We start from the raw sequence: 27,430 nt of genomic DNA on the forward strand, positions 1-27,430 counted from the left end.
AGTGCAGTGGCGCGATCTTGGCTCACTGTAACCTCCACCTCCCAGGTTCAAGTGATTCTCCTGCCTCAGCTTTCCCAGTAGCTGGGATTACAGGCGGGAGCCACCACACCCGGCTAATTTTTGTATTTTTTTAGAGACGGGGGTTTTACCTCTTGGCCAGGCTGGTCTCAAACTCCTGACCTCAAGTGATCTGCCCGCCTCAGCTTCCCAAAGTGCTGTGATTATAGGTGTTAGCCACCGTACCCGGCCAGGTATTGTCTATTTTTAAAATGAAATTGAAAAAGGTACAGAGACACGACATACCATTTTTCTTATTTTTTCCTTCAACTTTTAAGTTCCAGGTACGTGTGCAGGATGTGCAGATTTGTTACACAGGTAAACATGTGCTATGGTGGTTTGATGCACAGATCAACCCATCACCTAGGTATTAAGCCCAGTATCTATTAGCTATTCTTCCTGATGCTCTCCCTTCCATTTTTCTTAAAAGATAAATTTAGATATCCAGTACTCAGGATAGTCCACACACATCATTATTCTAATATTATGACAAGGCTTTCAGTATTCATTCCTGTGGTAACAGAAAAATAAAAGAATTCAATGTTCATATGCTGTTTTTCTGGTGGCAGGAAAAGAAAACAGTCATCAAAAGGTTGAAACATGACAAAAAGTACCAGTTTAAAAATATTTTATGTTTGTACATGTGGATTCTTACAATATATGCAATAGTTTTTTCCCAAGTAATTTTGGAGTCAGTATTCACATTACTCCAGCTAAGTGTAAACACCAGTATTTTGCACTTTAGCTCATCAAGCTTTCTTTTTTTCAGAAACAGGATCTCACTCTGTTGCCCAGGCTGGAGTGCAGTGGCGTGATCATAGCTCACTACAGCCTCAAACTCCTAGGCTCAAGCAATCCTCCCACCTCACCATCCAGCTTTTCAATTACCACTTTATAAAAATTTCAGAAAGCCAGTTCACATTGGCTCCTTGAAGGTGAATTTATTCAGTTAAAAGTATCCATTAGAAGAGGGAATAAAAGCATAGGACCTAAAAACCTTCTGTGGAAAGGATCTCAACTTTAGAGTCGTCTCTCAAAGGCTCTCAGCAAATATCTAGAGACGTGGTTACATCCAGTTTACGAAGACTGTCGGTGACTTCGGGGTCATACAGTACATGGACAACGAAAGAACAGCAATTGAAATCTTGTACTTGTACCCCACCACCTTCCGCCCTATGATCAACCCACTGTACTCTACTGCCACCTGTGTTCTCTCGGCATTTCCCCAGCCTGGAGGTTTCCCCATTCTCGCCACAAATACCATCCTTCACGAACGATGCCATTTCTAGGATGTTGCAAGTTATGATAAACAACTGTTGAACAAATATTGCTTACAAGCTACAAGTTGAAAACGAGAAGGTTGCTACCTAAGTTCATGAAGAAATCCCCTTTCAAGGATTCCATCTGTTCCTAAAAGGCCAGCCACACAAATTCTAATACTCTGCATTATTATGGCCATTTGGGGACAAGATTTTAAATCTGAAACCATGACAAGAAAAAAAAAAAAAGCAAGATTTAAGAGAGTAAACTCCAGAAACAACAGATCAAACTGCCATTGTGTTTGTTTTTTTTAAATCAGTGAAATATTAAAACAAATGATAAACCCATGCCAACCTCACAAAGTTTCCTCATTCCTTGGAATTCAAACACCACCGATGGCATCATTTTATGATAATCCTTTGGGTATTTCACGTAAGTAATTAGACACAATGTAAAGCCAGTGACTGAGGGACTTAAACAAACTGTCCCCTCCGAGAGCCCAGTTGGAGCTTCCGACACTGACCTTATTCTCCTCTCAATTTTAACCCTCCTCAACCACTCAATCCATCCAAAAACGTCTGTGACAGTCGTGGCTCTAAAACCGCGCAGAACTTGACTACAGAACGGTCGGTGACAACTCCACATATGATTTATCCAAATTAATTTATTTTTTTGAATTCTAGTCCCATGCTCCCTCGGCTGTTTGCCCCGAACCCGTAGTCTACACCACTTCACCGACGTGAAGACCACCTTTCATTGTTTCTATGGGTCTCAGCATCCTTCCCTCCGTCCAGCTCTGTTCTCGCCGCACAAATGTCATTTCTAGCGTACCACCCTCCATTCCGCCCGGTGGGCAGCGCAGGGGCTTTCGGGTCCCAGTGGCCAGTTTCCTGGAGTCGGTCCCCTATGCACAGCCATTTTCTAGTTAAACGCTCTCTCTGCCACCGAGGGGGAAAAGGAACTTTTCCCCCCTTTCATGTCTCATGGGCTGGCCTCTGAACCCCTCGTGGAGAAGCCAACCCCGGCTCCAACTCCCCGGCAGGAGCGCGCTGCCGCCCAGGAGAGACAGCCGAGCGGCACAGCGGAGGCCGGTGCCAGGACAAGGGGGTGTGCGCTCTTCCCGCAGGCGCCCACCCTCACTTTTCCCCTCTGCAGTCCCCACCCGGGCGCACCGCCTCCAACCCGGTCTCCCCCGCCCCAGGCCCTGCCAAGCCGGGGCTGCTGAGGGAAAGAGGGCGCCGGGAAGCGGGAGGGATGGAAGTCAAGGAGAGTGAGCCCGCAGTCGCCGTGCCACTGGCCCTGCGGCGCGGGCGCAGGGCGCACGGGACTCCGCAGCAGGCGCCCCGCTGCAGATGCCGCGGCAGCTGCTGCAGGTGTGGCTGCGGCTGAGCGGGCAGCAGTGGCCGCGGAGCCCCGGGGCCGGGAGCAGAGGAGAAGCCGCCGGGGGAACCCGCAGCCGCTCGCCGCACGCTGCTGCCGCTACCCGGGTGTTTCCCCAGCACTCTCGTGCTGCCCCGGAATCCGGGGCAAAGGCAAGGAAGAAAGCTGGGCTCACCAGTGGTGCGCGCGGCGCTCGCCTCGGCTCCGGCGCCCAGCGGCTCTGCTCCAGTCTCGCCCTTCCCGGAGCGCCCAGATCAGATGCGGTTACAGCGCACTAGCTTCCTACTTGAGACCAGAACGGGCTCCGGCAACTGAGCATGCTCAGTGCCGTTCCGCGAGTCCCGCGCAGGGAGCGGCGCTGACGAGATTCCACTTCTCCAGGCTTTGGCAGCGGCTGCGCGAGGGAAGGCTGGAGGGACCCGGCGGGGAGGGGGCCGAATGGGAGAAAGGCGGGGCCGGGGGGTGGGGGCCGGGCAGAAGGAGGCGGGCCGCGCTCCCAGGGCGACCCCTGCAGGTGGAGGCGGCAGGGCCTGCGGGAGGCACCCTCCCCAATCGCCTGGGAACACGCAGGGAGGCAATGGGTCCCCCAGTAAGACCCAAAGGCAGGACGTGCAGTGCAGCCCGGGTATCCCCTCCGTGTGGCTGGTGTCTGTCTGCACCAAAAGGCAGTTGGGTTACCTTAGCCCTGGCTTTTCTCCCACACGCCAGCATTCCCTTGCAATAGGAAAATGTCCCCACAGGAGAGCTGCCCACACCCACCCAGGCTAACTGCAAGTTGTAGGCGACACCTTCTCCTTCCTTCTACCTCCTATCCCCACCCCCAGGCATATGCCGCACACACACTCTTCTTTGATCCGGAAATCACAAGATAATATCAGGGGAGAGATACAACTGCCGGAGAGGAAAAGGAGGTTTTCCTTTCCATTGCCAATAATATTATCTATAACTCTAATTGTAAGCGTGCAAACAAAGCCCTGATAAGAGTCGAGTCTCAGTAAACGGTAAACCGTGCTCTGCCCCAGACGCTGTGAATGACATCCCCAAAGTATCCTTAGGATTGCTCTTCACCAGGGCAGCGGTTGTCAAACTGGAGCCTGGATCAGAATCGCCTGGAGGGTTTGCTGAAGTACAAATCCCTGAGTCCCAATCTGTGTCTCTGAATGGGTAGATATGTGGTGGGGCCCAAGCATCTGTATATCTAACAAGTTCCCATGGGATGCTGATGCTGCTGGTGTGAGGACTATACACTTTAGAGAACCCTACCCATACACACACACACACACAGTCCTACCAAGGATCTCGAATTAAAAACTCACGTGATTCTTCCTATGAGGACTCTATGCAGTGGGGTGGGCATTACTTTATTCTTTCCTACATGAGTTTATTAAGGATCCACGAGGTCTTGTACTAGGCCTGAGGATAGTGGTGAATTTAAAAGCCCAGGCCCCTGCTTTCATGGAATTTATAGTCCGGCCGGGTGACAGACACCTATCAAATAATCACTCAAAACGGTTATTTCAAACAGGTAGAGTGCTGGGAGGGAAATGCACAAGGTGCGAATAGAGTGTATAGAGGGACCCTCATGCAGACTCAGTGAGGTTGTTACGAAGGGATGGGAGGGGGGCTGCCTTGTGGAAGGTGGTTTCTGACTTTTGCACTCCAATAACCTCTCCAATTAACAATTATCTCCCTCAGACCGAGCTGGAGGCCAGCAATCATGTCCCTCCTTCCTACAACATAAAAACAATACTGTCACAGAGAAATCCCTATAAATTCATGAAAAGTGTTTACTCTTGGGACTGAGTCTCTGCACCCCAAGATCCACCTAACACGTCCGTGGACCAAGGACAGTCGAGGGCCACAGTAGACCTCTTGGGGAAAATACAGGCTCTCTGAACTGGAGAGCCTGTGGTTCTTAGTCTGTGATCTTCAAGGCCAAAGAGGCAAGGAAACCAGCCCAAGACCACCATTCCCGTCAGGAGCGGAGATCGACCAGCCTCCAACCTTGCAGACGGGTCCTCTTTCCAAGGCACTCTATTCCCGGACCTCACAGCTCCCCTCAGATCCCCGGAACCCGGCCTGGCCACCCCGCTCTCTCTCGGGGGTCCGGGGTAGGTGAGCGGAGCCTGCCCCTCCCAGGTCGGTCTCTTCCCGACGGAGAGGAAAACCCGCGGTGGAGTCCGCGGCGGCGGGGGGGGGGGGGGGGGGGGGGGCGGGGCGGCGCGCGCAGGCGCAGAGGCCGCCAGGTTGGGCCGAGGAGGCGCCCTGCTCCACACCTGATGCAATCAGCCTTCCGGAAACGGGTCCCGCTGCCGCGCTCACCCAGGAAACACTTCCGCGCCCTCCTCTGGCCGCTGAGCTCCCGGGGACGGGTTCCCAAACTCCCCCGGCCCGACTTCGCCACGGGCGGTGTTCTGCGCCCCGTCGGGGATACGCCGGAGAAGTCGGGAAGTCACTGCCTGGGCACACAAAATCCCTGAAATGCCCTGACAGTGACGTCGAAACGGCCACCAAGCGTTGCGCAGCTGCAGGAGGAAATTCCCTTAATTATGAATTTACAGAGGGGACTGATCGGGGCCGGAGGGAAGGCTTTGACCCTTCCCTTGCTTCCTTCCTTCGTCCGCCTCCCAACACATTGTCTCTCTCACTGAAAGGAACGTTTAACAGCAGTTTTAAGGCAGTATGGAGAGGAATCTCCATGCCCTCTGTCTTGCTAAATATGTAACAGCACTTTAGCTTTGCTACATAAAGCTTTCCCACCGCGCGCTCATTTTATAAATACGTAATTGGTTTCTGCATACCTCATCATTTCAGTTTACAAAGAAAATCATTTCTCGTTTCACCACTTCATGCAATTTTTATATCTATTGTGAGTGGGTTTTTTTCTTCATGCTGACTCACCCATTAATTGTTTTCCAAGGAAATGAAATATCCAAGAATATTCCAAGAGCATGTTTTTTAAAGCATGGAAGTAAACGCTGTGAACAGTAGATAAAACTGACCTCTCTTAAGTCCCTTAAGGCCAAAGGTCCTCCTAGGGAGTTGGGGGAAGGAGGCAGATCCAAGGAATTTTATTTGGAAGGATACCTCAAGACCATTCTAGAATCAAATCAAGATCAACTCTTAGACTTTACAGATGACATTTACCTCTCTGTGGCCCAGAGAAATAAATGACTTCTTTATTTAGACAAACCAAAGGCAGAACTGGCACTTGAAGCCAGATTTCTCAAAATTCCAATCTAATGGGGAAAAAAAAATGTTTTTTGCACAAACACCGTAGGGAGTGCAATACTATATTACAATGCAGTTTTACAATCCAAAGATTACAAAATACAAAATAGGTGACAACAAAAGGGATCCTATTACTTGTTCCTGTGACGTCATTAGTCTTTAAATAGTCCATGATCAACAAATATCCAGCCACTTCTAAGTGGCATTGAATAGCCAGAGTCTAGGAATTAAATATTTCAATTAAACAGGTATGAGTCAGGTGCAGTGGCCCAAGCCTGTAGTACCAGCTACTGGGGAGGCTGAGGCAAGAGGGTACATGAGGCTGGACGTTCAAAGTTGCAGTAGGATCTTGCCTGTGAATAGCCACTGCACTCCAGCCTGAGCCACACAGCAAGACCTCATCTCAAAACAAAACAAAAAAAACAGTATAACTACAAAACATCAAGAAATCTTCTGTGCCAACATTAAGAACTTCTAGTATTATTATTTGATTGTGTGGTATATGTGCAACGGTTTGAGCTTAAACCAAGGGAATTTTAATGATCACAACAAAATATCACGGTCATGATTTTCTTCTGTAATGATTTTAAATACTTTAACAATTTAGTAATCAAAGTGAAATAAAAAACAACTCAAAACTCATGCCTGCAATAAGATAAAATCTAATTCTTCAAAACTCTGTCTACCTTCTTATCTTGAGGAATGAATTTCTTTTTGGAATGTTCTGACAGAGATCTGGAGGAACACCTTCTATTGAAGCAAAAATAGAGTTGAGTAAATGTCAAAATGCAGAGGTACAAAATACACACTGTCACACGGTACTAGTTTTAGAATAGCTAACTCTTACTGACTATTTAGCATGTGCCAGATACTGGCTAAGCATTTTCCATAGGTTATTTAACTCAATCCTCACAACTACCCTATAAATGAAGCACTATTATTATCCCTATTTTATGGATAGGGAAAGTGAGGCTTGCAAATGTGAAGCAGCTAACTCAAGGCACAAAATATTCATTGGCAGAACTGGGATTTGAACCCAGGCAGTTTTCCTGGAGCTTGAGCTCTTAAATAATACTATGTATGGAAAAATGTAAATACAGAGAAAATGACTATAATGATTCTCAGATAAGAAAGGAGAGGGAGTATTGTACTTACTCTCCTAAAGATAAAACATAGTAAAATAAGTTTGTAGTCCACACTAGGAAAAAACCTTTTGCTAGCTAATAAATTATGGTCCCCAAATATAGGACCAATATTACCCAGAGGTATGAGGCAGATGATCAAATATCGAGTGATTTTTCAGGGGTACCAGCAAGGCCTCTTCTCTGATGAACCCTCTACGCCTGACTGGTTTCTCTAGTCCTAAACCATCCAATATGGCAGTCACTAGCCACATATGCTTATTTAATCTGAAATCACTTAAAATCAGTTAGAATTAACTCTTCGGTTCCTCTTTCATACTAGCCACATTTCAAGTGCTCAGTAGCATATGGCCTAATGACTACTGTATTGGATAATGTAAGTAAAAAGCATTTGCATCACTGCAAAAAATTGTATTCAACAGTGCTGCTCTGGGCCTTAATGTCATTAGGGCAATCCTTTAATCTCTCTTCATACTGCACTATTCCTGGGAGGACCATGTTTCCATGGTCTACCTTCCCATTGAGCTTCAGTCCTATTTTTCCAAACTAAAATTATTATTAGAGTGTAGAAAGGTACAAAGAGGTACAAAGCATAAAGTCCCCTACTATCATGGAAAGAATAGGGGCACTGGAGTAAGACCTTATTTCACATTCCAGCTCTTAGTAGTTGTGTGACCTTGGGCAAGCTACTTTACCTCACTGAATCTCACTTTTCTTATCTGCAAAATGGGCATGTTAATTTTTTCATTATAGGTTTATTTAAGATTAAATAACATATGTAAAGCTTCTGGTAGGCCTCACATAGGATGATTTCCTTCCTTCCACTCCTATTTCAGTTAATGACATTCCCCAATTACTCAGGTTTCTAAACTAGAAATCTCAGTCATCTTCAATTCTTCCTTCCTCCTCAACCACCCGCATTAAATTAATCACCAAGCCCTTTTGCTCCCAACTCAGGAATGCCTGCCTCTCAAATGTGGGCCTGCCTCTCTGTCCTCACTGTCCACTGTCCTCACTGTCTTTTCATGCATATTTCAGAATCCTGCTAACCAACCTTGATGACACCCATCACTCCCAATCCAAGCCCTTTCTTCACACCGCTGCCAGAGTGATCCTTCTAAAAAAAGGTGCTGATGATGTCATTCTTCTCCTTTAAAACCGCTGATGACTTCCAGTTGCTTAAAGATAAAATCTTAACTACTAAACTGAAGGACACATAATCAAACTCCATCACTCCATCACTGCTGCTTGTTTGGTTGGTAATAAAAAGAAAATTAAAAATATAACAACCCTTATTCCATTTCAAAAATATATTTGGATTCCTCTACTACCAACCTCTTTTTTCAGCCACCCCGTCCCCAGCTCATACCTCTCCCTCTACCCAACCCCCACTACACCCACACGCCAGCAACTTATGCCCATGAGGCATTCCTGCAAGCACGTAGTGGCCTTTCCCGACTCTGCCCTTGCACACAAATCTCAGGCTGGACTAACACTTTTACATATTCTTTATCTGGCAGAATTTTACTTACTCTCTAAGGTCCAGTTCAGATATCACTTCTTCTATAAAAGCTCCTTCAACTCCTTCAGGGAAAGGTGGACACCAGCTCATCTGTGATGCCATAGATTTGAGATAGATTGTAGATGCCGTATTTGGGCTACCTGGGTTTAAATCCTGGCTGCATCACTCTCCCACTGCTAGTTTTGGGCAGACGACTTAAACTCTTCACCCCTCAGTTTCCTCATCTGAAAACAATGATAATCATAGCATGAATATCTTATTGTTGTTACCAAGCATGTGAGATATTGCACGTGAAGCTCGTAACAATGTATCTGGCCCACAGGCAAGCACTCAATACAGATTATCTTCAAATTGTTCCCACTATTATTAATTATCCATCTTATCCTTTTGTCTCAATGTGAATTTTTTTTTACATTTTAAATAATTTTCAATTAAATTTTTATGTTTTACATTTACATTTGATTTTTATATTAAATACAAGTATTTTATTACAGAAGTACTTCATTATTTATTGATTAAAATTTAGGAAATTCAGATGACATGCCAAAGAGATTACATTCTCTATTGTATGAGACATCTCTTGGTTACAAGCAAAAGGAACTCATTCTGGTTAACTTACCCAGAAAAAATAATTTCTGAGAGAGTTGTCAGGCAGCTCACTGTCTCAACCCAAAGATGGAGAATCAGGTTAAGAAAAGGGTCGGGATCCATGGAGGACTGGCGGCAAATAACAGACAAGACCACGGCACAGTGTGTCACCAATGGCACAACCCCATGGGCCACTTGCTGTGGCCACAGTTCCTGAACCTTTGCAACTTAGCTGAAGTAGGAAGAGCATCTTATCCCCTCTCCCACTCACCCACCCCACGATCTTTACCTATATTTGGTCACACACAGGCCAACAAATCTTGCAGTTACAAACTTTGGTGCCTTTGCTTATGCCGTTCCTTTTGCCTGAAATAGTCTCGCTCTGTCACCCAGGCTGGAGTGCTGTGGCACGTTCATGACTCACTGAGGCCCCGACCTCCCTGGCTCAGCCTCCCTCGTAGCTGGGACCACAAGTGTGCACCACCACACCCAGATAATTTTTTTATTTTTCGTTGAGATGAGGTCTCACTATGTTGCCTAGGCTGGACTCGAACTCCTGAGCTCAAGCAATCCTCCCACCTTGGGCTCCCAAAGTCGTGGGGTTACAAGCATGAGCCACCACACCTGGCCTCCTCACTTCTTGATTCCAGAGCTTGCCATATGTTTTTGTAGCACTTCACACATAGTACAGTTAGATGTTGTATCATTCTTTGTTGCCATGCTGTAAATTCCTATCTTCAGCCACATCACAGAGAAGACACTTGATAAATATCTGTTTAGTGAATGAAAGGAAGAAAAAAATTAAATTAGTTTTTAAGGCACTGCACTAAGCACTTCACAAACATTAACTCACTGGGCACAGTGCCTCACACCTGTAATCCCAGCACTTTGGGAGGCTGAGGCCAGTGGATCACTTGAGTTCACAGAGTTTGAGACCAGTCTGGGCAACATGGTAAAACCCCTTCTCTACTAAAAATACAAAAATTAGCCAGGCATGGTGGTGCACACCTGTAATGCCAGCTACTAGGGAGGCTGAGGCAGCAGAATCGCTTGAACTCAGGAGGCAGGGGCTGCAGTGAGCCAAGATCACACCACTGCACTCCAGCCTGGATAACAGAGTGAGACTCTGACTCAAAAAACAAACAAACAAACAAACAAAACCATCCAAATGTTAACGCAATTTAGTCTCAATTTATAATAGTTTTTCCTCAGATAGGCTGATTACTCTTTTATAACAGAGGAAACTGAGGCCAAGGGAGTGAAATTACTTTCCAAAGGTCACACAGCTAAGGGACAGAGGCAGAATCTGAAGAAGGCAGTCTCGCTCCAGAGCACAGGCTTTCACCTAAAGAGATGTTATGACTCTGTGAAAGGTAGTACAGGGCCCTTTTTCTAGAAAAATTCTACCACATCTTTTTTTGTTATTTAAAGTGCTGACAGTGTCTTGGTAAGCAGAGAAAGCTAATTAAATGTTTCTGTACATTTTTAATATTGAAAAACATATTTAGTAAATTTCATAAACACGTATTCAATCATTCCTGAACAATGGTAATAGACAGCTCTATACACAAATTCATAGAAACTCAAATGAGCACAAAAGCACACAATAAAATTCATCACACTCTTTGTCTCTGCCCTTCCCCCAGGTTACCAGGAGTTGTTAGTGCAGACACTGGCATTTTATTGAACTGGTTCCGGCTACAAGGAATTTATGTTCTTATGCCCAGGGCAATCTCCTTCCCTGGTTATATGATATCTCTCACCACTCCTAGAATCCCTCTTTTGGTTATCATCAAACAGCAGAAACTTGACTCCAGAGCACCAATGTGCAGGGTGCCTCACAAGTAATTGTCTGCATGATAAGGGCAAGAATTTAAATCTTGTGAATAGAGGAAAACCATCACCTTCATGTTCACAGGGTACATAAATTACACCATCCAACCTGAAAAAATACTCCATTTTAAATTCATATAAACATAATTAAATAGGAATGGGGAATCTGAAATGAGGAACACTGAGAGAGAAGACATTTAAAAATAACTAGAAATCATTTACAAGAGAAAATGCTTTGCTCATCCCAGAGATAGATAAAATATATATTGCTAATTTGCAAAGACATTGATAGTCTTCTTGATCAAGCAAGGGATTTATAGTCTCCTTTCTCTATTTGTTCCTGCCAGTATCTTCACTTTTAAGTGCCTCATTACAAGGTCTGCAAAATAGGAAAAGAAAGGAAGATGGAGAAAAAAGATCTAAAGATTTCTTTTGCTTTTAAGAGCTTATTATAACAAGCAAACATTTGTCATTAGGTTAAATGAAAGAAAGCTAGCTCCTTACAAATATCTGAGATCATAAAAACCAAACTTGGTGGGGAAGGGACATTAGTATAGGAAGAGGTATGATTAAAAGTAATAGCACAGAATTAGTAGCTAATATGGAAGTTAGATATTAGCAAAAAAAAAAAAAAAAAAAAGATTCTTGGTAGGGTCAATTAGATAAAAGGAAAAACTTCAAAAGGATATAACAAGTGCTCCATCCCGTGAGACTTTTAGAATTAACCTGGACAAAGAGCTAGAATATATTTCGTAGAAAGCAATCTTTTCTGACAAGCTGGTAGATTAGCTCTAATTGATTTTTCCACCTCTAATTTCTTTGACTCGCTGAAATGCTATTTGTAGAAGACAAATGAGCTTTCCTTGAGGTTGAATTTTCTGTCTTTATTTTAATCAAATGAGATATGATTTCTCATGAAAATGGTTTCCAAGTCAATGGCTTTGCAAGTAATAATTTAACTCTTATTTAGACAATAAAAGTTTAAAAATCAAAGTTATAGCATTAGTAAACATGACAAATCACCATATATTTTCTTCCATCATGCACTGGCAAAATTCTTGGAATAAAGTTTCCAAGAAGTGAAGGAATAGGGTACAGGAAAAGTGGAGCAGGCTAATATTCTACCAGTTTTTACCTTTTTGTAAAAGGTAAAATAGCTTCATATCCTCTCTAGAAAGTTATCACTAATAGAAAAACACTTAGTTCTGTTGAAATTATGTTAAAGTTTGTATCAGATAACAGTTCTGAGAACATTAGGTACAATATCGTATGCATGTTATTTATGTTATTTGTTGTCATAAAAAGAGCAAAATTAAAAATGTACTAGAAAAAGTTTTGCCTAGAGTCTGAATTTTCTAAGAGAACACTTAGGGAAAGAGGAGAGGAAGAGGAAATACTAGGTGAGGCAGGGGATAGATCTCTTTCTCCTCATATATATATTATATATATATATTTAATATCTAAAGTCTTATATATATATTTCAAAGCTGTTTCTACAAATTTTAATGTGTTATTTTTTTCATGACTCAAAATATGACTAGAAAAAATATTCTAAATTTTTAAAATTTTTTTTACTTCAGGTCATAAAAATATTTTTCCCTATTACAGTCTGACAGGTTACAAGTTTTGTGTATTTTATTTTGTTTCGTTCTCACATTTAAACTTTAATTTGTTTTCTAATACACTGTGAAACAGGGATATAACTTTGCAAGCAGAAAGCCAACTGTTCTAATGCAACGTATCAAACAATCTTTCCATCGCTACTTATTTATAATGTCACCTCTATTATATGTCCAATTCTCATTGGTCTGTTCCTATGCTCTCTATTCCCTTTCATAGACTACTTCTTCTATTAGGGTGGTAATATTGCACTATTTTTGTTTCTATACCTTTGTAATATATCTTGATATCTGGTAGTGTGGGTCTCTCTTCTCTGTCCTGGTTTATCAAAACTGACTTAGCTCTTCTTTCATAATATCTTTTCCACATAGAATTTATACTTCCAATATCAATTTTGATGAAAAATCTTTAGAATTTTATTGGTATTAATTTTTTTTTGAAAGAGATTCTTCTCTTTTGTTATTCCTAAACTGTTTGGTAGCAACATTCATTTAACAAACATATTTGCATACCTAGTAAGTAGTAGGCAATGAGTTGGTTATTGTGCTATTTGGCCTGTTAGTCCAAAAATAGTTAAACTATCAGAGTATTATAAAAGACACAAGCCATTAATCAGGCTCATCCTGGCTGACTGTTTTGGGTTGAATTGCATCCACCCAAAAAGATATGTTGTTGTCCTAAGCTAGTATCTCAGAATGAGACCTTATTTCATAACAAGGCCAGACAGATGTAAATTAGTTAAGATATGATCATACTGGATAGGGTGGGCCCCAATCCAATATGGCTGGTAGTCTTATAAGAAGACAACTACGTGAAGACACAGGAAGAATGCCCCCAGGAAAATGGAGGCAAAGATTAGAGCGATCCATTTATAAGCCAAGGGACACTAAAGATTGCTGGCTGTCAAAAGAAGCTAAGAGAGAGGCATGGAATAGACATGACCTCAGAGCCCTCAGTAGGAACCAACCTGCTGACATTCATTTTTATTTCAAACTTCTAGCATCCAGAACTGCAAGGGAATAGACTTTCGTTTTGTGTGCTTTGTTATGGCAGCCCTAGGAAACTAATACACTATTCATTCCAAATAAATACCTTTATAAATAGTTAAAAATTATACAGGAAATTTTTTTTAAGACAGTGTTTCACTCTTGTTGCCCAGGCTGGAGTGCAATGATGCAATATCAGCTCACTGCAACCTCTGCCACCTGGGTTCAGGCGATTCTCCTGCCTCAGCCTCCCGAGTAGCTGGGATCACAGGCATCCACCACCATGCCAAGCTAATTTTTGTATTTTTAGTAGAGACGGGGTTACACCATGTTGGCCAGGCTAGTCTCGAACTCCTGAGCTCAGGTGATCCACCTGACTCCACCTCCCCAAGTGCTGGGATTACAGGCGTGAGCCGCCTCGCCCAGCCAGGAAAATGTTCATTAACCTAAACTAATATCTATAAACTTTAGAGACAGTCAGAGGTGTCAAAGACAAAATAATGAAGTCCAAATAATTCTTGCAAAATGTTACTTTCTTTTTCTGTGATGACATATTGACTGCACTTTAAAAACTCCCTAGGTCCAAAAAGTGACTTTACCTCCAACTTATTTCAGTATTGATTTTGTGAAAATATGTAGAACGAACACGAAATCTGATAAATGGATCCTTCAAATGTGATTGCAATAACAAGAGGCACAATACATGTCTCAAGTTTTGGAGTACAATCTCCCCATAGGTATTGGCCTCAGACAATCTTCTATATTTCAAATATAACTAATCCTATTGCCAGGAGCTTGGGGGAAGGGGGGAATAGGGAGTTACTGTTTTATGGATACAGAATTTCAGTTTTGCAAGGTGAAAAGAGTTCTGGAGATGGATGATGTTGATGGTTGCACAATAGGAATGTACTTAATGCTGCTGAACTGTACACTTAAAAATGATTAAGATAGTCAATTTTAGGCCGGGTGCGGTGGCTCATGCCTGTAATCCCAGCACTCTGGGAGGCCGAGGCGGGCAGATCACGACGAGGTCAGGAGATGAAGACCATCCTGGCTAACACGGTGAAACCCCGTCTCTACTAAAAATACAAACAAATTAGCTGGGTGTGCTGGCGGGCTCCTGTACTCCCAGCTACTCAGGAGGCTAAGGCAGGAGAATGGCGTGAACCTGGGAGGCGGAGCTTGCAGTGAGCCGAGATTGCGCCACTGCACTTCAGCCTGGGTGACAGAGCGAGACTCCGCTTCAAGAAAAAAAGGAAAAAAAAGATAGTCAATTTTGTTACATGTATTTTACCACAATGTTAAAAAATAAAAAAATGTAAAAAGTAAGCCAAGCTGGAAAAAAATGTATATATAATTAATGTTCCATCACTGCATTTGAGAACATAGGTACATAGTTCATACAATAATCTATGTTTACAAAGTAATTCTCATTTTTTTAAATTGAGGTTGGCGATGACCCGCCATATTAGGGCACCTCAAGGCATAGGGCTAGAGCAGGCCAGAGCAAAAGAGAAAATGCAACTCAAGAGTCCAGGAGTATTCCCTAATCCAATACGGCTGGTATTCTTTTTTTTTTTTTTTTTTTTTTGAGACGGAATCTTGCTCTGTTGCCCAGGCTGCAGTGCAATGACGTGATCTCGGCTCACCGCAACCTCTGCCTCCCAGGTTCAAGCTATTCTCCTGCCTCAGCCCCCCGAGTAGCTGGGATTACAGGCACGCACCACCACACCCACTAATGTTTTTGTATTTTTAGTAGAGACGGGGTTTCACCATATTGGTCAGGCTGGCCTCGAACTCCTGACCTCGTGATCCGCCTGCCTTGGCCTCCCAAAGTGCTGGAATTATAGGCGTGAGCCACTGGGCCCGGCCATGGCTGGTATTCTTATAAGAAGAATATAAGAGGCTGGTGATGACGAGGACTAGAGGATCAAGGTGATATCATCAGAACTGGATCTTTCTCCAGCTCCATGTCCTGCCTCTCTTTTCTGTCTGAGCTGAATTACCCTCTTGCAGGGCCCCTTTCCACAGTGGCTCTAGGTCCTCAGAGTGGTTAAATTCCTGCTTGAGACAAAAGACCTGCCTTCCTTGATTCTTCCTGACTAAACAGATCCTAAGAACTGGGAGTCAGTCTCTCTTTCTTAAACTGAGTTCTTTATACCATGGGAACATACAACACATTCTAGGAATTATTGGAAATCACAGGATAAACCTACATCCTCCTGGAGTGACAAATGTGTTAGGAAATTTGGAGAAAATACTTGATATTAGAACATATATATAGACCAGGCACGGTGGCTCACGCCTGTAATCCCAGCACTTTAGGAGGCCAGGGCAGGCGGATCACCTGAGGTCAGGAGTTCAATACCCTGGCCAACATGGTGAAACCCCGTCTCTACTAAACATACAAAAATTAGCTGGGCATGGCGGCGGGCGCCTGTAATCCCAGCTACTCAGGAGGTTGAGGCAGGAGAATAGCTTGAACCCGGGAGGCAAAGGTTTCAGTGAGCCAAGATCGCGCCACTGTACTCCAGCCTGGGTAATACAGCGAGACTCCGTCTCAAAAACAAAAACAAAGACAAAAATACACACACACACATACACACACATATATAATGAAGTAGACTAAAAAGTGGGCAAAAGTTTTTTAGATGAAACACAAGATGTCAAAAGGCACATTTCTCCGGAGGCAGGCAACTGGGGACCTCTGGAGCTCAAAGTTCTGCTGTAAGGGGTAGGTTAGAGGGAAAGCACAATGGGAAAGCTGGATGAGCAGACTTTGTGATGGCTGCTTTGAACCAGAGAGGAAGACAGGCTCCATCCCGCAGGCCAAGCAAGAAAAGGAGAAAACCTGGAGCAAGCCTGGGCCTTCATAGTTCCATGAAACGAACCTATGATAGGCTTTTGTACTTTCCCGTGTAGTAACTAACATGCTTGAGGGCTTCCTATTTGCTAAACGTTGTGCATATATGAATTCACTTAATCCCAGAGGCATTCTGTGAGGTGGGTACTGTGAGTATTCATATTTTCCATATGGGAAAAATGAAATTCAGAGAGGTACAATAACTTTCCTAAGGCAACTGGAAAAATATGTGAGTATCTTCATCTCTTTCCACATTTTGTGTCTTCTCCATTTTGTGCTAATAGAATGTAGGACATACAAAAATAGAGAGATCCAGGAACTTGTTATCTCTAAAATAAAATGTCACTGAAGTCAAAAACAGCTAAAATCAATGCTTGAATTAGAACATCTCATTTCCTACCTCTTATCCTAATGTTCATTTTTATACTTTTGTTCTCTTGATTTCATGTTTTTCAACTGGATGTTTTAATAGTAAACTTTGACTTCCTTCTTTACTACATCTATCTGTCTGCCTGCCTGTCTGTCTGTCTGTCCGTCCGTCTGTCCATCCGTCCATCCGTCCATCCATCCATCCAACTATCTATCTCAAAAGACACATTTTTTCTGAGGCAGGCACTTGAAGGCCTCCAGAGGTCAAGGTTCTTCTGCTGTAAGGGGTAGTTTAGTGGGAAAGTTTGATGGAAGAGCTTGGTGAGCAGAGTCGGTGATGGCTGCTTTCAACGTATATATTTCTCTCTTATAACCTATATAAATGTTGCCCTGTGTATAACCTCTTTGGCCTGGTATGCTACATAAAAATAGAGAAACATATGAACAAATAAATAAAAGATAAGTTTGACAATATTAGAGCTCTGAACAAGCAGGTTTCATGAGTACAGAGGTCATAAAGAATCTCTTTATAAAGGTTGTATTTTTTTATGTCTTTATTAATTTTCTAGGTTCCATGTACACAGTTCATTTTCCTCTAAAAAAATTCCAATGTTGTTTCAGTGTCTCATAAATACAAGCTCAAATCTATAATTTGGAAACTTTTAGGAGAAAAGATTAAGGCTGGCTATGCCTCATCAATAGCATTATTTTTTTTTAATGTTTAGTACTTTGTTCTTACTCTGCTGTGTTGCTGGGCGTACATCTGGGAATAGGAGGCTTATAGAGCCAGACTCTAAAGATGATTTCTATTCCTTTCTGACTTAAATGTTTTTTCTTTCTCTCTATTTCTCTCTTTCCCCCACCTTTCTTTCTTTCTTTTTTGAAACAGGGTCTCACTCTGTCACCCAGGCTGGGGTACACTGGCGTGATCACAGCTCACTGCAGCCTTGAACTCCTGGGCTCCAGTGATCCTCCTGCCTCAGCCTCCAGCGTAGCTAGGACTACAGGCATGCCCCACCATGCCAGGCTAATTTTGTTTTATTTTTGTAGAAACAGGTTCTCACTATGTTACCCAGGCTGGTCTCAAACTCCTGGCCTCGAGCGATTCTTCCACCTCGGCCTCCCAAAGTGCTGGAATTACAGACATGAGCCACCGCACCCAGGGCTGATTTATACTCTCGTAAATCTGGCTTATGTATCAATTAATGTTCATACTGACATATTTCCCCACAGTATTCTAGTTTGCTTTTGTGGCATGGGAGCTAATGCCATTTCATCTCCTTAAATACTCTGCCCCAATAGATATAGAGCATTATTTTACATATGTTAGTTATCCACAATATTCAGGAACTTTGTTGAAATATGTGGTTTCTGACACTTGACATGCATAGAGAACAGTAGTTGCACAAAATTAAAATCATTTTTTAAAGAAGATGATTGAAAACAGTGGGAAAGTCTTTCCCCTGCCTTTCTGATAAGCATTCCATAATTTCAATACTTTTTAAGGCTCTCATTTTATTGCTTATAAATTATTTTATATCTTTCTATTTTTTATTTTTTTATTTTTTTAAATTTTTATTTATTTATTTTTTTGAGACGGAGTCTCGCTCTGTTGCCCAGGCTGGAGTGCAGTGGCACAATCTCAGCTCACTGCAAGCTCCGCCTCCCGGGTTCACGCCATTCTCCTGCCTCAGCCTCCCAAGTAGCTGGGACTACAGGCACCCGCCACCACGCCCGGCTAATTTTTTGTATTTTTAGTAGAGACACTGTTTCACCATGTTAGCCAGGATGGTCTCGATCTCCTGACCTCGTGATCCACCCACCTCGGCCACCCAAAGTACTGGGATTACAGGCGTGAGCCACTGTGCCCGGCCCTTTCTATTTTTTTAAACTTGTTTTTCAGTATGTAAACAACTCCCAACCCACTAATCAAACTTTGCAGATACTAAACTAGTGTTTAGGATAAAACTTATATGATCTCTTAAATATAAGCCTAATAAATACATTCATTAGAAATCAAGCTGTAACAATGTGGCAGTTTTAGAAAATCACAAACCAAATTCTTTTGCTGCAATTTCATGCATTACCTTGACAATCTAGGCCACCTAAAATATAAAGCGGTGGTAACAAAGGTGATGATAATTCACTGCAAAAGAGAAAACTGAAGTGGAAAAAAGCCCAACCAGCCAATGGTTTCCTTTAACCTAATTTCAAGTATATTTCTAAAGAGGACAATAATTGAAGGGAAATCAAAGGCAATTTCTAAAAAAGTAGATTTCTCTATTCTGACAAGTTGAAAGAAATTGTTGAAGGAAACTTTTGCCAAAACATACCACATTGGATCTTCTGCCTGAGGTCATTGTCAAAGTTGAGACTTCTGAAAATGCAGTATTAGTGAAACGTAAAATGAGTCATATGCTCTTTCCAATAGCCACATAAATAACGAAGAGGCATGTGGCATAGTGGGTTCTGTCCTACTTTGGCTACTTGCTGGCATTATAACCTTTGACAATTCATTTAACCACTCAGGGCTTCACTTTCAACACATTGAAGTGACAGGTGGCACTGGGTTGGAATTCCAGGTCCATCTCTTATTACTATATCATTTTAGGAAAGTTACGTGACTTCTATGAATCTATTTCTTCAACCATAAGATGTGAAGAAGACATCAAAAATTATTTGGGGCCAGGCGCAGTGGCTCATGCCTGTAATCCCAGCACTTTGGGAGGTGGAGGTGGCAGGCTCACCTAAGCCCAGGAGTTACGACCAGCCTGGTCAACATAGCAAGACCCCCATCTCTTAAAAAAAATTATTTGGAAGAAGGAAGGCCAAAAAATAATACATAATGTATTATTCAATTTACATAAAACTCCAGAAAATGCAAACTAATCTACAGTGACAGTAAGCAGATCAATGGTTATTTGGGGACCTGGGAAGCAGAAAGGGTGGGTGGAAAGAATTACAAAGGGGCAAGGAAACTTGAGGTGGTGGATATGTCCATGATCCTAATTTGGTGATAGTTTCACAGGTATATACATCTGTCAAAATTGATCAAATCACACATTAAACATTTAAAACATTTATTGCATGTCAATCACACCTTTCTTAAAAAGGGTCAGAGAATTCAATGAGATAGTATGTGAAAAACAATTAGTGCAGTGCATGGCACAAGTAGGCCTCCAGAAATGAGTCCCCACCCCCACAACCCCAGCTTCATTTATGTCACAGGGCTATTTAAAATGGTATTCTACTTCATAAACCTCCGTGAACTCTGAAATCTCCTTTGCGTTTTGTAGCTTGATAAATATTTTCAAAGAAAAATATGGGATAATATGAAAATACCTCTGCAGCTTATTTAGGATATTATTTCTGTGGGTTTTTTTCAAATCTTCATTAGAGGCATATTTTGCATTGTTGGAATCACACTTTACATAGGACTTGCATGCTACTTCTCAACTCCATGGTTTACCTAAGATGTCTGCAAACTATTTTTTCCTTTTTTCATTATTATTATTATTATTATTTGAGACAGGGTCTCATTCTGTCATCCAGGCTGAAATGCAGTGGCCTGAACACAGCTCACCACAGCCTTGACCTCATGGGCTCAAACTATCCTCCCACTTCAGCCTCCCAAGTAGTTGGGACTACAGGCGTGCACCACCACGCCTGGCTAATTTTTGTATTTTTTTGTAGTTACGGGTTTTTGCCATGTTGCCCAGGCTGGTCTCAAACTCCTGGGCTCAAGTGATCCACCCACCTCGGCCTCCCAAAGTGCTGGGATTACAGATGTGAGCCATCATGCCTGACCCACAAACTATTTTTAATGACTGTCTCATGATTTTCTTAGGGCTAAGAATTCCTGATATATTTGAAGGGAGAATTGCCAGGATTTACTGACAGATTGAATTTGGGATGTGAGAGAAAGAGGACTCAGGGATGACACTACAGTTTTTGGCCTGAGCAATTAGAAGTTTGATGAAGCTGACATTTTCTGAGAAAGGAAGAATTTGTAAAGGGCAGCTTCGGTGGGGAACTTCCATTTTGAGGAGAAGTTAGGTATTAAACATCGCTGGAGTAGGCAGTGGACCTGAGATCCAAGGGGAGGTCCAGCTGGAGATATAAATATGGGAGTCTCCAGCATAAAGACGATATTTAAAGCCATGAGTTGGATGTGGTCTTCAAGGGCATGAGTATAAATAGACAGCAGAAGAGGCTCAACAACTGAGTCATGGAGGCCCCCTAATGGCTAGATCCTGGAGTTGAGGAGGAAGCAGTAAAGGTGACAGAAAAGGAGTGCGATCAAGGAGGAAGGAGCGTAGGCTGTTTGGAAAGCCAAGTGAAGAAAGTGTTTATAGGAGAGAATGATGCTTATCACTCAAGTAAGAAGAGAATGAAAAACATGCTCTTAAAACAAAGGGTAGTTATATCAAGGGCACTATGAGTAGAGTGGATTCAAAAGGTTATATCCTAGGAAGATACACAAGTGGCCAATGAGCACAAGAAAATATTCTCACCATCATTATCCATCAGAGAAATATACATCAAAACCACAATGATGTACCACTTCACACCCATAAGGATGGATGAAATCCGAAGAAAAATAACGTGTTGGTGAGAATGTGGAGAAATCGGAACCCTCATACACTGCTAGTGAAATGCAAAATGGTGTAGCACTTTGGAAAACAGTTTGGCAGTTCCTCAGAAAGTTAAACATAGAGTTACCATATGATCCAGCAATTCATCTACTAGAAATATATCCTAAAGAAATGAAAACATATGTCCACACAAAAACTTGTACATGAATGTTCATAGCAACATTATTCATAACAGCCAAAAACTGGGAAAAAAACAAATGTCCAGTGTTCAGCAAAAAATTAAGAGACATAAAGAGAAACAAGAACGTATAGCTCATACATGATGGGGGAAAGTAATCAGTAGAAACTGTCCCAGAATTCCAGATGTTAGACTTAGTAGACAAAGACTTTAAGTCAGCTATCTTAAATATGGTCCAAGAACAAAAGGAGTTGATTTCTAAAGAACTAAAAAAAGTATTAGAGCAAAGTCTCACTAAATAGAGGTTATTAATGAAGAGATAGATGTTATAAAAATAAAAAGTGTCAACAAATCCACTCAAAAGTGTTTTCTTTCGAGAAAAAGGAAAGAGACTTTATTCTAGCAAATGGTTTGCAAACCAGAGATACACAGGCTTTGATATAAAATGAAGGTGTGTTCAGACAGAACAAAGAAAGTGCTTGTGTTTTATAGAGTTCTTGCGCAGGCTACCACTCTGGTCTACTTATGCAAACGATGGATGCAAACTTGCTTAGTTCTGCTTGGTTGAGGCTTGCTGAGTTCTGATTGGTAGCTGCAGGTTACAGTCTTTGGTTGGTTCAGGCAGCATAAACAGAACAGCAGCTACGAAGTCTCAAAGTTAAATAAGTGTGGGGGCTTGCCAGGAACTCAGAGTATGTGTTGTCAACTGAAGAATCATAAGGTTCAAAAATTTGGAGAGGAGAGCTTTATTTCTTATAAAGGGTTGTGGCCAGGTGCAGTGGCTCACGCCTATAATTCCAGCACTTTGGGAGGCCGAGGCGGGCGGATCACCTGAGGTCAAGAGTTCAAGACCAGCCTGGCCAACATGGTGAAACCTCGTCTCTACTAAAAATACAAAAAAAATTTAGCTGGACATGGTGGCGCGAGCCTGTAGTCCCAGCTACTCGGGGAGGCTGAGGCAGGAGAATCGCTTGAACCCAGGAGGTGGAGATTGCAGTGAGCCAAGATTGCACCACTGCACTCCAGCCTGGGCAACAGAGGGAGACTCCATCTCAAAAATAAATAAATAAAATAAAAAAATAAAGGGTTGCAATCTGCACACTGGCCATCTGCAGGCTGGGCAGTGTAGCCTTGGGCAGAAACTGGAAGCAGGCACTTTGAGGGAGGGAATAATGAGACTGGAATTTATGCCAAATGGTTTGTCTAAGTGTATATATTTAATAGGTTATAGGAGGAGTTATGAATATTTATGATGGGGTGAATGTGTGCATGCATAGTAAGTAAACATGCATGTTACTACACATGTCCCATGTTCACTTTAGGGTGGAGGCTTAACATTTAAATGCATTAAAATTAGGCTGTATAGATCAAAGGTGAAACAGAGGACACAAGGGCATCTTGTGCACAGCCTCTGCGAACTGACCAGAATCAGTCCATTGTCAATGGTCTCTTATTAGGAAGGAATGCTGATCAGCTGTTGTGTTGAAACTCCAAAAAGGGAGGGGAACGCAGCAGTGTCAGGTGGTTAGTTGATGTCAGTGGTGGTGCAAGTCTTTCAAAAGGGGCGGTTTCTGTTTAACCCTTAGGAAAGAAAGTCTAATGGTGGTTAGTGAGGGTGGGGGTTTAACAAGGTGTGTCTGACCTCTCTTCTTGTCGTGGCTGGGAATTCAGTTATTAACCCTTCTAGGGTTCCCATGGCCAAGAGGGAGTCCATTCAGTTGGTTGGGGGACTTAGGATTTTCTTTTTATTTCTCAGTGTGTGACTTCTAGTCAGCCAATGGCCACTTGGCTATATTTTGAATTTAGGCCCAGTTAACCACTCAGGGTCCATCTTGACAGATTAGCCCCTTGAGGGCTCACAAAAGAAATTTTTGGAGCTGAAAATTACAATAGCTGAAATGTGACTACCCTGGAAATCAGGTTCTACCCACCTTCAGGCTTTATTATTGTTGTTGCTTATGCTCATGCTTGCGTTCCAGGCATGAGCCACCATGCCCGGCCTGGACAAGGATTTTCTTAATTGCCTGAAATCAATAAATCTCCCAATCTTTGGCAAGGGGCTCTGAGTGTATTTTGGGGTACATCATCAGCACTCAGCCAGGCCATGTACAACTCTTTCTGGGCCTTCATTTCCTGATTGTGCAGAGCCTCAGGGTCAGCTGCAGGTGAGAGCTTAGGGGCTTCTCATGTTTTCCTGAGCATGTATGCAGCCTGAGGATATGCACGTGGCCTTCTAGATTCCCAGGAATATGTCAAACCTTTCCAAAGCTCCTGTAGACATTTCACTGCTCAGCTTTTCCTTGTAAGCTCCTGTGGGAGAGGCTTTCAGCAACAGGCCATCTCTCAGTCAGTACAAATAAAGAAAAGCCTCTCAAGTGAGTCTTCAACTGTTTTTGGTTCCTTTTATAAAGGGGTGAATTTTTGGAGATCCTTCTTCTGCCATTTTCCTAATATCACCCAGCATTTCCTCTTTTATCTTCTGGGGAATCATTTATGTAAGAATAGGATGATCCTTTGAATGTTTGGTAAGATTGTCATAAAAGCATTTAAATCTCAGTATTTTTTCATGAAAGATTTTTGATTGCTGCTTTATTTTCTTTCACAGTGCATGCTTTCTATTTTTTTCTAAGTATTTGAGATTTTTCTCTAGGTTCAAATTCATTGGCAAAAAATTGTTCATAGTATTTCTTATTGTCTTTTAAATCTATAAGGTGTATGTGATTACGTTCCCATTTTATGTCCTTGATATTGTCTATTTGTGTATAATTTATTTTTCCGTAAATTCTGCCAGATGATTGTCTATTTGATTAATCATTTTTAAAAAACTAACTTTTGTTTATTGATTTTCTCTATTTTACTCTCATCTATTTCTGCTCATAATTATCTACTCTTTTCTATTTGCCTTGAATTTATGTTGTTGTTCTTTCTATAACTTCTTAAGTTGGATGCTTGGCTCAGTAATTTTCTACACTTCTTTTTTTGTGTGTGTGTTTTGTAACAGGGTTCTACTCTGTGGCCCAGGCTGGAGGGCAGTGTAGCAATCATAGCTCATTGCAACCTCAAACTTCTGGGCTCAAGCCATCCTCCTGTCTCAGCCCTCCTAATAGCTAGGGTTACAGGCATGCGCTGCCACACCCAGCTAATTTTTATTTTCATTTTTGTAGAGATGAGGGCTCACTACATTGCCCAGGCTGGTCTTGAACTTTTGGCATCAATTGATGCTCCTACCTCCACCTCCCAAAGTGATGGGATTACAGCCATGAGCCACTGGGCCTGACTTCACTTCTTCTTTTTAATGGTATGAATTTCCCATAAATATGATAGCACTGCATCTCATAAATATTGATATTTAAAGTTTTATTAATGTTCAGTTCTCAAGATTTTCCAATTTTAATTATGACTTCTACTTTGACCCATGATTTACTAAAGAGTGTGAATTTTAATTTCCAAAGTTAATTTTATAAGTCTCATTTATCATTTTATTACTGGTATTAAATTAGTTGTGTTGCAATTAGAAAACATGGTCTGCATAAACTGATTCTTTAAAATTTGCTGACTCATGCTTCATAACTAAGCACTTAATGTTTGTAAATTCTCTATGTATGTTTGAGAAGAATACACATTTTAAAATTGTGGGATGCAGAGTTTTACATATGTCCATTAGATTAAGATTGTTAATTATAGCGTTCAATTTTTAAAATTTTTAAAATTTTCTTTTTTTTTTATTATACTTTAAGTTTTAGGGTACATGTGCACATTGTGCAGGTTAGTTACATATGTATACATGTGCCATGCTGGTGCACTACACCCACTAACTCGTCATCTAGCATTAGGTATATCTCCCAGTGCTATCCCTCCCCCCTCCCCCCACCCCACAACAGTCCCCAGAGTGTGATATTCCCCTTCCTGTGTCCATGTGATCTCATTGTTCAATTCTCATCTATGAGTGAGAACATGCGGTGTTTGGTTTTTTGTTCTTGCGATAGTTTACTGAGAATGATGTTTTCCAATTTCATCCATGTCCCTACAAAGGACATGAACTCATCATTTTTTATGGCTGCATAGTATTCCATGGCGTATATGTGCCACATTTTCTTAATCCAGTCTATCATTGTTGGACATTTGGGTTGGTTCCAAGTCTTTGCTATTGTGAATAATGCCGCAATAAACATACGTGTGCATGTGTCTTTATAGCAGCATGATTTATAGTCCTTTGGGTATATACCCAGTAATGGGATGGCTGGGTCAAATGGTATTTCCAGTTCTAGATCCCTGAGGAATCGCCACACTGACTTCCACAATGGTTGAACTAGTTTACAGTCCCACCAACAGTGTAAAAGTGTTCCTATTTCTCCACATCCTCTCCAGCACCTGTTGTTTCCTGACTTTTTAATGATTTTCTATATGTCGGTCTTCTATATGTTAGTTGAGCTCGGAAAGAGAACTGAGCTGCCAAGTATCAGAGTAACGAATTAAAGCAGCAAACCAAAATGAAAGATTTGTAAATTTCTGCAACAGTACAAGCAAGAGGCCAAACTGAAGAAAGCATCAACTCTCCTCCATTCTGTCTTCCCCATAGAACTGCACACCAGTAAAGGGTGAGGTGGGTCAATACAGCTGTAGGGATTATCTCACAGTTGAGGGAGCCCTCAACAAAAGACTCCAGTAGATTTATGAACCCTGGGGTCAAGGTCAGGGCAAGGGGGAAGGGCTAGAAGTGGAAAACTATGGAGTCAGAGTGGGTACAAGTGTCTTTAAGGTTTCCCCTTCTCTGCCCATAAGGAGGCCTAAGCCAAGGTGCCTGCAGACCTCTGCCCAAGGTCTCAGATAAGGAGACCTAGAAAAGAAGGTGCCAGGGCTCCAAATGCAAACATGTAAAAAAAAGCATGACTGGCCAGGGGGTCTGAGACCTTGACAGCAACTCCTCTCAGAGGCTGCAATGCCCTGGCTATGCCCCAAGCCTGGTGTGGGGCGGGTAGCTTTCTCCTGTGGTCCTATCAGTTTTCGCTTTATACATTTGAGGGTACTTTATTAGAAGCATACAACTGTAGAATTGTTATATCTTCCTGGTGAATTTAAAATGTAACCATAATGAGGCCCTCTATCTCTAAGAATGCTTTTTGCTTAAAAATCTATTACGCTATTAATATAACTATACTAGGTTTCTTTGGTTGATCTTTTTCTTGGAAAGCTTTCCTTTGCTTTTTACTTTCAATCTTGCCATATTGTAATGCATGAGGCATGTCTCTTTAAAATAGCACATATCACCAGCCTGGGCAACATAGCAAGACCCTATCTCTACAAGAATTAATTAGCTGGGTGGGGTAGTGCATGAGTATAGTCCCACCTATTCAGGAGGCTGAGGCCTCCTTCACTTGAGAGCCCAGGAGGTTGAGGCTGCAGTGAGCCATGATCACACAATGGCACTCGAGACTGGGTGACAGAGCAAGACTCTGTCTAAAAAAATAATGACACATATCTAGATTTTAAAAACATAATTTGATTTTAAAATCTAAGTTTAGTCCATTTACATTTAGTATACTTTATTTGGGCTTTTGCCCAAATAATATATCTTACCTTTTTATTCCATTGATCTTGGATTTTCTGTGCTGCTTTTCTCTTATCTTGTCTTTTGTGGTGTTTGCATTTTTTCCCTTATTCTATTTATCTCTAATTGTTTGAATTTATATACTTTTACTTTTCTTGATTAATTTCCCTTGAAATGTTACCATGACTATTTTACTTAACTAAGTCTAAAGGTAAATGATTTCTTAACCTTTGCCAGAACAATAAAAGGAACCTTTGA

General features: G+C 42.0%; 1 protein-coding gene and 1 long non-coding RNA gene across 49 annotated transcripts in view, besides 6 other annotated features; both read right to left on the reverse strand.

The window, feature by feature from the left end:
- APBB2 (amyloid beta precursor protein binding family B member 2) overlaps positions 1-3,010 on the reverse strand; it is a 404,516-nt gene extending 401,506 nt beyond the window's left edge. For all 48 annotated transcript variants that reach the window (XM_047450191.1, XM_047450181.1, XM_047450169.1 and 45 more), the window contains exon 1: positions 2,873-3,010. The gene's annotated coding sequence lies outside the window, so the exon portion shown is untranslated. The remainder of the gene's footprint in view (positions 1-2,872) is intronic.
- Positions 1,303-1,382: an enhancer, noted in NCBI's record as "active region_21506". NCBI's record gives its function as "activates an Ori minimal core promoter by ATAC-STARR-seq in GM12878 lymphoblastoid cells {active_cell/tissue: GM12878}" and the evidence as "EXISTENCE:reporter gene assay evidence [ECO:0000049][PMID:35858748]".
- Positions 2,385-2,694: a silencer, noted in NCBI's record as "silent region_15385". NCBI's record gives its function as "represses an Ori minimal core promoter by ATAC-STARR-seq in GM12878 lymphoblastoid cells {active_cell/tissue: GM12878}" and the evidence as "EXISTENCE:reporter gene assay evidence [ECO:0000049][PMID:35858748]".
- Positions 3,105-3,274: a silencer, noted in NCBI's record as "silent region_15386". NCBI's record gives its function as "represses an Ori minimal core promoter by ATAC-STARR-seq in GM12878 lymphoblastoid cells {active_cell/tissue: GM12878}" and the evidence as "EXISTENCE:reporter gene assay evidence [ECO:0000049][PMID:35858748]".
- Positions 4,892-4,941: a silencer, noted in NCBI's record as "silent region_15387". NCBI's record gives its function as "represses an Ori minimal core promoter by ATAC-STARR-seq in GM12878 lymphoblastoid cells {active_cell/tissue: GM12878}" and the evidence as "EXISTENCE:reporter gene assay evidence [ECO:0000049][PMID:35858748]".
- Positions 4,950-5,764: an enhancer, noted in NCBI's record as "NANOG-H3K27ac-H3K4me1 hESC enhancer chr4:41218499-41219313 (GRCh37/hg19 assembly coordinates)". NCBI's record gives its function as "activates a minimal SCP1, AML or CMV promoter by ChIP-STARR-seq in primed H9 embryonic stem cells {active_cell/tissue: H9 hESC(primed)}" and the evidence as "EXISTENCE:reporter gene assay evidence [ECO:0000049][PMID:30033119]".
- Positions 5,072-5,321: an enhancer, noted in NCBI's record as "active region_21507". NCBI's record gives its function as "activates an Ori minimal core promoter by ATAC-STARR-seq in GM12878 lymphoblastoid cells {active_cell/tissue: GM12878}" and the evidence as "EXISTENCE:reporter gene assay evidence [ECO:0000049][PMID:35858748]".
- The window catches only part of UCHL1-DT (UCHL1 divergent transcript), a 36,654-nt gene continuing 17,765 nt past the window's right edge, over positions 8,542-27,430 (reverse strand). Inside the window, exons 2-3 of the long non-coding RNA NR_102709.1 lie at positions 9,805-9,952; positions 8,542-8,816 (exon numbers count right to left, since the gene is read on the reverse strand). This is a non-coding gene — a long non-coding RNA (UCHL1 divergent transcript). The remainder of the gene's footprint in view (positions 8,817-9,804; positions 9,953-27,430) is intronic.

The sequence above is a fragment of the Homo sapiens genome, chromosome 4, assembly GCF_000001405.40.
Source record: "Homo sapiens chromosome 4, GRCh38.p14 Primary Assembly".
NCBI classification, from domain to species: domain Eukaryota; kingdom Metazoa; phylum Chordata; class Mammalia; order Primates; family Hominidae; genus Homo; species Homo sapiens.